The 11,705-nt window shown below is 39.4% G+C and overlaps 1 long non-coding RNA gene across 1 annotated transcript; it reads left to right on the plus strand.

Moving 5' to 3' along the window:
* Positions 1 to 588: 588 nt before the first annotated feature.
* On the plus strand, positions 589 to 3,701 carry LOC124904453 (uncharacterized). Its single transcript, XR_007066728.1, has 2 exons — positions 589 to 785; positions 1,209 to 3,701. It is a non-coding gene; the product is annotated as an uncharacterized LOC124904453 (long non-coding RNA).
* Positions 3,702 to 11,705: the final 8,004 nt, after the last annotated feature.

The raw sequence follows: 11,705 nt of genomic DNA on the forward strand, positions 1-11,705 counted from the left end.
GATCCATTTATCATACATATGAGCTGACCCATTTGTCTATGAACCTCAATTGCTACTCCCCACTGATATAAGTAGTAGCAGAGTAAAAATAATAATAATCTTAGGAAAAACAAGGAGTGAAATAAGGCATTTTAAAAATATGAAATATTTATTAACTTTTCCACTGGGCTAGCATGCTGAATATACTATAAAACCCAAAAAGAAAAGTCAAAAGATCAATAATAAAGGTATTGAAGAAGAAGAAAAAAAGACGGTAAGGAGGGAGGGAGGAATAGAAGAAGGAAAGAAGGAAGAGGGAGGCAGAGAGGGAAGGACAGAAAAAGGGAAAGAGAGAAAAAATAAGAAAAAAAGAGAAGGAAACAAAGTCATAAACATATTGCTGTTGCCTCAGGTTGCATGTCATGTTTGTTCCCAGGCCTCTCGTGACCATTCTGGCTCAGGCTGTGAACAGCCTCAGAGGAGTCTGAAATCCCAAAAGGATAGTGATATTTAAAGTCAGTAATCCTCTAACAGAATCTCTCTCAGAGACTATGCCAAGCCTCCATACCATCAGCATTTTCTCTCTGTATATATACAAATAAGAAACTAGATCTGAGAGCCTAAAAGATCCCTTTTTGATTTGAATCCAAGAACTTCTCCAGATTTTTAAAAATCGAGTTCTCCAAAGAAGAGGCTGTGATGTCGTGCACCAGAGAGACAGTCGAGAGCAGCTAGGACAGGCTTTCCGTTGGCATAATGGAAACCATGTGTCCTGTACCATTATGGATTTCTAATGCTCCGTTGAGGTGGGTACCTGTTGCTTTGAAGAAAAAAAAGCCATTTCCACCCCCATTTCTCCTGATTTATGCTCCAGCCACAGAAGGCCCAGACAAGTTGGAAAAGATTTGGTAACTGGAGAAGTGACAGGGGGTGAGAAAGTATATTTTGTCAAAGACTGCACACTTGACTCTCACTTTAAATCCTTGCCTTGGGCAATGTGTGAGTTACAGAGTTTAAATCGTGTTTTTAGTTTAAGTCAGATTGAGGGTGAAAGACTACACAGCTCTATGAATTAGGACTGGATTGTTTTGGTAAAAACATTTTCTAGGTTGGTCAAACATAAATCAGTCCTAATGAGGCACCTGTGATTATAGGCAGGTCTAATGCTCCTCACTGCTCTCCGCCCATTCTCATTCCTCTCCTATTTGCCTTTATTTTTTCCTAAACAGAAAATCAGAAAGCAATGAGAATTAAAAAAAAAAAAAAAAAAAGCATGTTGTACTCAGCCCAAAAGAGATTAGAAGAGTCCAGAATGACATAAGGGCAGAGCACAGGACATAGGTGACTGAATGAGTCTTAACAAAGAAGCCAGGTCCAGGAAGAATCAGATGGTGGACACAGAAGAGCTTTTCATCAAACAACAGTGAATGGAAGTCCTAGATTTCAGTGTAATGTCCAAGAATTTGCATCATCTGTCACCTGGCAGCTGGCATTCCACCCCTCCCTCCAGGGGGCCTCCTTGACTACACACACAGGCTGCTTACCTGGAAGAGTCTCATCTTTCTTACTCTTTGGCCTACAAATCTTTGTTCAGGAGGTTCTAGTCTCTCATTTTTCAGGTGACTCTTGTCTATCTGTGGAAAAACTTCATAGTTGTTTTCTTATTAAGCCTTGGGTTTTAATGTTATTTCTTCAGCGTTATATTATTCTTTATTGCTATGTCATGAAAAATGGTTTTAACTTTGAATCACTGCTCTATTTCCATTAGCAAATGCCTTCCTTCTTCAAGTCCTATTAGAAACAGAGCAACACTGAAAAAGACACCAGGATTATTTTGCCCCTTTGCATACCTTGTTAACTGCTCAAATAGACTTGAAACCTTTTGTCCACCAAATCCCATGGCCTTGGGAAAAAGCAGTGTGTATGGCTCTTTCTAGTCTTTTATCTACATTTTAAAACTAGATTGGTAGGGGCAAGATGGCTGAATATGAACAGCTCTGGTCTGCAGCTCCCAGCGAGACCAACGCAGAAGGCGGGTGATTTCTGCATTTCCAACTGAGGTACCCGGTTCATCTCACAGGGACTGGTTAGAGAGTAGGTGCAGCCCATGGAGGGCGAGCAGAAGCAGGGTGGGGCATCACCTCACCTGGGAAGTGCAAGGGGTCAGGGAAATCCCTCCCCTGGCCAAGGGAAGCCATGAGGGACTGCGCCTTGAGGGACTGTGCTATCCTGCCCAGATACTACGCTTTTCCCAAGGTCTTTGCAACCCACAGACCAGGAGATTCCCTCAGGTGCCTACACCACAAGGGCCCTGGATTTCAAGCACAAAACTGGGCAACTGTTTGGGCAGACACCGAGTTAGTTGCAGGAATATTTTTTTGTATTCCAGTGGTGCCTGGAACGCCAGCAAGATAGAAACATTCACTCCCCTGGAAAGGGGGCTGAAGCCAGGGAGCCAAGCGGTCTTGCTCAGTGGATACCAACCCCATGGAGCCCAGCAAGCTAAGATCCACTGGCTTGAAATTCTCGCTGCCAGCACAGCAGTCTAAAGTTGACCTGGGATGCTTGAGCTTGGTGGGGGCAGGGGCGTCCGCCATTACTGAGGCTTAAGTATGAGGGTTTTCCACTCACAGTGTAAACAAAGCCACCAGGAAGTTAGGACCAGGTGGAGTCCACCACAGTGCTGCAAAGCTGCTGTAGCCAGACTGCCTCTCTAGATTCCTCCTCTCTGGGCAGGGTGTCTCTGAAAGGCAACAGACCCAGTCAGAGGAATGTGGATAAAACTCCCATCTCCTTGGGACAGAGCACCAGGGGGAAGGGGCGGCTGTGGGCGCAGCTTCAGCAGACTTAAATGTTCCTGACTGCTGGCTCTGAAGAGAGCATCACAGATCTCCCAGCACAGCGCTCGAGCTCTGATAAGGTACAGACTGCCTCCTCAAGTTGGTCCCTGACCCGCATGCCTCCTGACTGGGAGACAACTCCTGGAAGGGGTTGACAGACACTTCATATAGGAGAGCTCCAGCTGGCATTTGGCAGGTGCCCCTCTGGGATGAAGCTTCTAGAGGAAGGAGCAGGCAGCAATATTTGCTGTTCTGCAGCTTCCAGTGGTGATACCCAGGCAAACGGGGTCAGGAGTGGACCCCCAGCAAACTCCAGCAGAACTGCAGAAGAGGGGCCTGACTGTTAGAAGGAAAACTAACAAACAGAAAGCAATAGTATCAACATCAACAAAAAGGATGACCATGCAAAAACTCCATCCGAAGGTAACCAACAGCAAAGGACAAAGGTAGATAAATCCACGAAGATGAGAAATAAGCAGCGCAAAAAGGCTGAAAATCCCAAAAACCAGTGCCTCTTCCCCTCCAAAGGATCAAAACTCCTCACCAGCAAGGGAACAAAACTGGACGGAAAATGAATTTGACAAATGGACAGAAGTAGTCTTCAGAAGGTGGGTAATAACAAATTCCACCGAGTTAAAGGAGCATGTTCTAACCCAATGCAAGGAAGCTAAGAACCTTGATAAAAGGCTAGAGGAATTGCTAACTAGAATAACCAGTTTAGAGAAGAACATAAATGACCTGATGGACCTGAAAAACACAGCATGAGAACTTCATGAAGCATACACAAGTATCAATAGCTGAACTGATCAGGTGGAAGAAAGGATATCAGAGATTGAAGATCAATTTAATAAATAAAGCATGAAGACAAGGATAGAGAAAAAAGAAATAAAGGAATAAGCAAAGCCTGAAAGAAATATAAGACTATTTGAAAAGACCAAACCTACCTTTGATTGGTGTACCTGAAAGGAAAGGGGAGAATAGAACCAAGTTGGAAAACACGCTTCAGGATATTATCCAGGAGAACTTCCCCAACATACCAAGACAGGCCAAAATTGAAATTCAGGAAATACAGAGAACACCACAAGATACTCCTTGAGAAGAGCAACACCAAGACACATAATCAGATTCAACAAGGTTGAAATGAAAAAAAAAATGTTAAGGATAGCCACATACAAAGGTCGGGTTGCCCACAAAGGGAAGCCCATCAGACTAACAGCAGATCTCTCTGCAGAAACCCTGCAAGACAGATGAGAGTGGAGGCCAATAGTCAACATTCTTAAAGAAAAGAATTTTCAACCAAGAATTTCATATGCAGCCAAACTAAGCTTCATAAGGGAAGGACAAATATAATCCTTTACAGACAAGCAAATGCAAATGCTGAGGGATTTTCTCACCACCAGGCCTACCTCACAAGAGCTCCTGAAGGAAGCACTAAATATGGAAAGGAAAAACTGGTACCAGCCACTGCAAAAACAAACCAAAATGTAAAGACCATCGACACTATGAAGAAACTGCATCAACTAATGGGCAAAATAACCAGCTAGCATCATAATGACAGGATCAAATTCACACATAACAATATTAACCTTAAATGTAAATGAGCTAAATGCCCAAATTAAAAGACACAGACTGGCAAATTGGATAAACAGCCAACACCCATCAGTGTGCTGTATTCAGGAGACCAATCTCATGTGCAAAGACACACATAGGCTCAAAATAAAGAGATGGAAGAATATTTACCAAGCAAATGGAAAGCAAAAAAAAAAGCAGGGGTTGCAATCCTAATCTCTGATAAATAGACTTTAAACCAACAAAGATCAAAAAACACGAAGAAAGGCATTACATTATGGTAAAGGGATCAGTGCAACAAGAAGCGCTAACCATCCTAAATATATATGCACCCAATACGGGAGCACCAAGATTCATAAAGCAAGTTCTTAAGAGACCTACAAAGAGACTTAGACTCCCACACAATAATAGTGGGAGACTTTAACACCTCACTGTCAATATTAGACAGATCAAGAAGACAGAAAATTAACAAGGATATTCAGGAGTTGAACTCAGCTCTCAAACAAGTAGACCTAATAGACATCTACATAACTCTCTACCCCAAATAAACAAAATATACACTCTTCTCAGCACAACATACCACTTATTCCAACATTGACCACATAATTGGAAGTAAAACACTCCTCAGCAAATGCAAAAAACAAACAAACAAACAAAAAACAACAGAAAACAGAAATCATAACAAACAGTCTCTCAGACCACAGTGCCATCAAATTAGAACTCAGGATTAAGAATCTCACTCAAAACCACACAACTACATGGAAACTGAACAACCTGCTCCTGAATGACTACTGGGTAAATAACGAAATTAAGGCAGAAAGAAATAAGTTCTTTGACACCAATGAAAACAAAGACACAACATACCAGAATCTCTGGGACACAGCTAAAGCAGTGTTTAGAGGGAAATTTATAGCACTAAATGCCCGCAGGAGAAAGTGGGAAAGATCTAAAATTGACTCCCTAACATCACAATTAAAAGAACTAGAGAAGCAAGAGCAAACACATTCAAAAGCTAACATAAGACAAGAAATAACTAAGATCAGAGCAGAACTGAAGGAGATAGAGACACGAAAAACCCTTCAAAAAAATCAATGAATCCAGGAGCTGGTTTTTTGAAAAGATTAACAAAATAGATAGACCACTTGCCAGACTAATAAAGAGAAAAGAAAGAGGAATCAAATAGACACAATAAAAAATGATAAAGGGGATATCACCACTGATCCCACAGAAATACAAACTACCCTCAGAGAATACCATAAACACCTCTATGCAAATAAACTAGAAAATCTAGAAGAAATGGATAAATTCCTGGACTTATAGACCCTCCCAAGACTAAACCAGGAAGAAGTCGAATCCCCGAATAGACCAATAACAAGTTCTGAAATTGAGGCAGTAATTATTTATGGTTGGTTGGCCTACCAACAAAAACAACCCCAGGACCAGATGGATTCACAACCAAATTCTACCATAGGTACAAAGAGGAGCTAGTACCATTCCTTCTGAAACTACTCCAAACAATAGAAAAAGAGGGAATCCTCCCTAACTTATTTTATGAGGCCAGCATCATCCTGATATCAAAGCCTGGCAGAGACACAACAAAAAAAGAAAATTTCAGGTCAATATCCCTGATGAACATTGATGTGAAAATCCTCAATAAAATACTGGCAAGCCGAATCCAGCAGCCTATTATAAAGCTTATCCACCATGATCAAGTCAGCTTCATCCCTGGGATGCAAGGCTGGTTCAACATATGCAAATCAATAAATGTAATCCATCACATAAATCGAACAAATGACAAAAACCACATGATTATCTCAATAGATGCAGAAAAGGCCTCAATAAAAGTCAACACTCGTTCATGCTAAAAACACGCCATAAACTAGGTACAGATGGAACATATCTCAAAATAATAAGAGCTTTTTATGACAAACTCACACCCAATATTATACTGAGTGGGCAAAAGCTGGAAGCATTCCCTTTGACAACTGGCACAAGACAAGGATGCCCTCTCTCACCACTCCTATTCAACATAGTATTGGAAGTTCTGGCCAGGGCCATCAGGCAAGAGAAAGAACTAAAGAGTATTCAGATAGGAAGAAAGGAAGTCAAATTATCTCTGTTTGCAGGTGACATGATTATATATTTAGAAAACCCCATCTTCTCAGCCCAAAAGCTCCTTAAGCTGATAAGCAACTTCAGCAAAGTCTCAGGACACAAAATCATTGTACAAAAATCACAAGCATTCCTGTACACCAACAGTAGACAAACAGTCATATCATGAGCAAACTCCCACTCACAATTGCTACAAAGAGAATAACATACCTAGAAATACAACTTACAAGGGATATGAAGGATTCCTTCGAAGAGAACTACAAACCACTGCTCAATGAAATAAGAGGGGACACAAACAAATGGAAAAACATTCCATGCTTATGGATAGGAAAGATCAATATTGTGAAAATGGCCATACTGCCCAAAGTAATTTATAGATTCAATGCTATCCCCATCAAGCTACCATTGACTTTATTCCCAAAATTAGAAAAAACTACTTTAAATTTTATACGGAACAAAATACAGCCCGTATAGCCAAGGCAATCCTAACCAAAAAGAACAAAGCTGGGGGCATCATGCTACCTGACTTCAAACTATGCTACAAGGCTACAGTAACCAAAACAGCATGTTACTGGCACCAAAACAGATATACAGACCAATGGAACAGAACAGAAACCTCAGAAATAACACCACACATCTACAGCCATCTGATCTTTGACAAACCTGACAAAAACAAGCAATGGGGAAAGGATTCGCTATTTAACAAATGGTGTTGGGAAAACTGGCTAGCCATATGCAGAAAACTGAAACTGGACCCCTTGCTCACACCTTATACAAAAATTAACTCAAGATGGATTAAAGATTTAAATATAAGACCTAAAAGCATAAAAACCCTAGAAGAAAATCTAGGCAATACCATTCAGGACATAGGCATGGGCAAAGACTTCATGACTGAAACACCAAAAGCAGTGGCAACAAAAGCCAAAAATGACAAATGGGATCCAATTAAACTAAAGAGCTTCTGCACAGCAAAAGAAACTATCATCAGAGTGAACAGGCAACCTACAGAATGGGAGAAAATTTTTGCAATCTATCCATCTGACAAAGGGCTAATATCCAGAATCTGCAAAGAACTTCAACAAATTTACAAGAAAAAAACAAACAACCCCATCAAAAAGTGGGTGAAGGATTTGGACAGACGATTTTCAAAAGAAGACATTTATGCAGCCAACAAACATTTGAAAAAATGCTCATCACTTTTCATTAGAGAAATGTAAATCAAAACAGCAATGAGATACCATCTCATGCCAGTTAGAATGGTGATCATTAAAAAGTCAGGAAACAACAGATGCTGGAGAGGATGTGGAGTAACAGGAACACTTTTACACTGTTGGTAGGATTGTAAATTAGTTCAACCATTGTGGAAGACAGTGTGGCAATTCCTCAAGGATCTAGAACAAGAAATACCATTTGACCCTGCAATCCCTTTACTGGGTGTATACCAAAAGTATTATAAATCATTCTACCATAAAGACACATGCACATGTATGTTTATTGCAGCATTATTCACAATAGCAAAGACTTGGAACCAACCCAAATGCCCATCAGTGTTAGACTGAATAAAGAAAATGTGGCACATATATACCATGGAATACTATGCAGCCATAAAATGAGTTCATGTTCTTTGCAGGGACATGGATGAAGCTGGAAACAATCATTCTCAGCAAACTAACACAGGAACAGAAAACCAAACACTGCATATTCTCACTGATAAGTGGGAGTTGAACAATGAGAACATATGGGCACAGGGAGGGGAATATCATACACTGGGGCCTGTTGGGGGTGGGGGGCAAAGGGAGGGATAACATTAGGAGAAATGCCTAATGTAGATGATGGGTTGATGGGTGCAGCAAACCACCATGGCACATGTATATCCATATAACAAACCTGCACGTTCTGCACATGTATCACAGAACTTAAAGTACAATAATAAAAAAAAAAACTAGATTTAAATTGTCTGCTTTTATTATGTTCTCTGCCATTTGTAAACATGCTTTTTCTGTCTTCTTTTTTTTTTTTTTTAAACCAGTATTACCTTCTTACTTTTATTGTTTATCACTCACCACAGGTAATTCCCTTCTTCAGTTGACTTACACTATTTTAATATCCCATATCAACTATTGCTTGGGTTAGTTACTGAATTCCAGGGTCTGATGGAAAACAATGATCTTGTTTGGGAGCATCATGTGATCAGGGTACTGCTAATTGTTTGAAAATGTTTGGGTTCTCCTGGGTCTCATCACAGTTGGAAAAGATGAGATTATGTCCTCATCTTTAGGGAGTTGATTTAGTTTGCACTGTGTATTTTATATAATGCATCAAAGTGTCCATTTCTTTTAGTAAATAAATGACACATTTGAGCTGAAATCTTTCACAAATATCTATTTAAAATAACATTTAAAACCAAACTTGTATAAAGTATTCAAATGCTGTATCTGGCAACACTGTGACATCAACCCTAACAGGCAGAATTGGCTATATTTTAAAATGAAGAACAGAGGTTCAGAAAGATGAAGTAACCTGTCAAAGTTCATATAAGTCTTATGTTGGGTACTCAGGAATTGGGCCATTTTTTGTCTGGTTCTAATGCCTAGTTACCTCCTAAATAGATTGTTAAGTGAGTAATAATAACACAGGCCCAGTGCAGTGGCTTATGCCTCTAAATCTCAATGCTTTGAGAGCCCAAGTCAGAAGGATTGCTTGAGCCCAGGAGTTCAAGGCTGCAATGAGCTATGATCACACCACTGCACTCCAGCCTCAGCAACAGAGAAAGACCCCATCTCTAAAATAACAACAATAACAACAACAGCAAATGATTGCCGTATAAAACTTCCAAGTTCTCAAGTTCTGATTTCACTGAATATTCCTGAACACCAGTCAAGTCTGGCAAAGAATTATTATTATTTCCATTTTATAGTTGAAGAGATGGAAGATCAAAAGGTTCAGAAATTTGTGAAAGACTCTAGTCTTCTGATTCCTACTTCAGCACTTTTCTTCTAGTACATCCTATCATCTCCTGAGGCTTTCTTCTCAGCACTACCTTTGCATCTTTCCCTACTTCTGACTGTGGTGTTTGTTAGCCACCCAGAATGGAAGATGAAGATGGTTCCGGAACAATCACATGGATGATGACAGAAATAATGCCCCGTTATACACACAAGAAGGCTGTGTGTATTTGTAAAATTCAAACTAAATTTTAGTTTTTCTGTGACAAAAATTATATATATTTATTGTGTACACCATTTGTTTTGAAATAGGCATACATTGCGGAATGGCTAAGTAGAGCTAATGAACATGTGCAATACTTCACATAATTTTTGTGTGGTAAAAACACTTAAAATCTACTCTGTTAGTAACTTTCAAGAATATATTTGTTATTTAATCACCAAGTAGTACAAAAGGTCTCTCGAAATTATTTCTCTTATTTAACAAAAATTTTGTATCCTCTGATCAACAGCAACAACTCCATCATACCAACTCAACCCCAGCCCCTAGTAATCGCTATCTATCCTCTGCTTCTATGAGTTCAACTTTTTAAAATTCCACAAATAAATGAGCTCATATGGCATTCGTCTTTCTGTGCCTAGCTTATCACTTAACATAATGTCCTCTAGGTTCATCCATGTTGTTGCAAATCACAGGATTTCCTTCTGTTTTTTAAGGTTTTCTATTATGTATAACTACCACATGTTTATATCCATCCATCCACTGATAGATACTTAGGTTGATTCCCCTATCTTGGCTATTTTGAATAATGCTGAGTACAGATATTTCATCAACATACTGATTTCATTTTCTTTGGCTAAATACCTAGTAGTGGGATTGGTGGATCATACGGTAGTTCTATTTTTAATTTTTGAGAAACCTCTGTACTGTTTTCCATAATCGCTGTACTAGTTTACATTCCCACCAACAATGATCAAGGGTTCTGTTTTCTCCACATCCTCACAAGCATTTGTTGTCTTTCATCTTTTTTATAATAGCTATTCTAACAGGAGTGAGATATCTTATTGTGGTTTTAATTTCCATTTCCCTGATGATCAGTGATGTTGAGCATTTTTTTTTTTAATTTTTTTGAGATGGCGTCTCACTCTGTCACCCAGGTTGGAGTGCAGTGGCATGATCTCGGCTCGCTGCAAGCTCTGTATCCTGGGTTCACACCATTCTCCTGCCTCAGTCTCCCAAGTAGCTGGGACTACAGGTGCCTGCCACCACGCCTGGCTAATTTTTTGCATTTTTAATAGAGATGGGGTTTCACTGTGTTAGCCAGGATGGTCTTGATCTCCTGACCTCGTGATCCACCCACCTTGGCCTCCCAAAGTGCCGAGATTACAGGCATGAGCCACCGCAGCTGGCCAAGCATTTAAAAAAATATACCTGTTGGACATTTTATGTCTTCTTTTGAGAAACGTCTATTCATTTCATTTGCCCATTTTTTAAATCAGGTTATTTGTTTTCTTGATTTTAAGTTGTTTGAGTTCCTTATGTATACTGGATGTTCACCCCTTATGAATATATGGTTTTCACATATTTTCTTCCATTCCTCATTACTTTCATGATGATGAATTGTGTTCACATGATGATACATTGTTTCTACTGCATGATAATACACATGGCCTCTACTTTGCCTGATTAACTGAGATGTACTCTTTGGGGTAAATAAACAACAAGAAATAAACATTAGGCCTCAAAAGTATGTGCTTCACATAGCTTAGTGTGTAGTCTTAGAATAAAGCCTATTTAGGATTTTTCATAATAGGAGATTGTTTCAAGAGATTTAATCCTCTAGAGTGAACTCTTTTGACAAATTTCATTCTTCAAACAATCATTTCTTGAATATCTACCATGTGTCAAGTACTATGATATTGGAGACACATCAATGAAAATCAACAAATTGTGATCCTTTTGTTGAATTAAAAGAAGATATATTGACAGGTGGGAAGAGAGTTGGTGAAGGGAAAGGCAGTAAATGAACAGCAATGCACAATATCCATGTGCCACTTTTATGTATGCATAATATATATATGAATATGCATCACAGTTGAATACCAACTAGAATAAAACAGTGGTAATACATTTACTGACAACGGGATTGATGATGATCTTTAAATCATGTGTCATGCAAGAGCATAGAGCAAATAGTTACCACAATGTGGCTAGCTCATATATAATGTTGTTAGTCATTCTAACAACAACTGCATGATA

This window comes from Homo sapiens, chromosome 1, assembly GCF_000001405.40.
Source record: "Homo sapiens chromosome 1, GRCh38.p14 Primary Assembly".
In the NCBI taxonomy this organism is placed as follows: domain Eukaryota; kingdom Metazoa; phylum Chordata; class Mammalia; order Primates; family Hominidae; genus Homo; species Homo sapiens.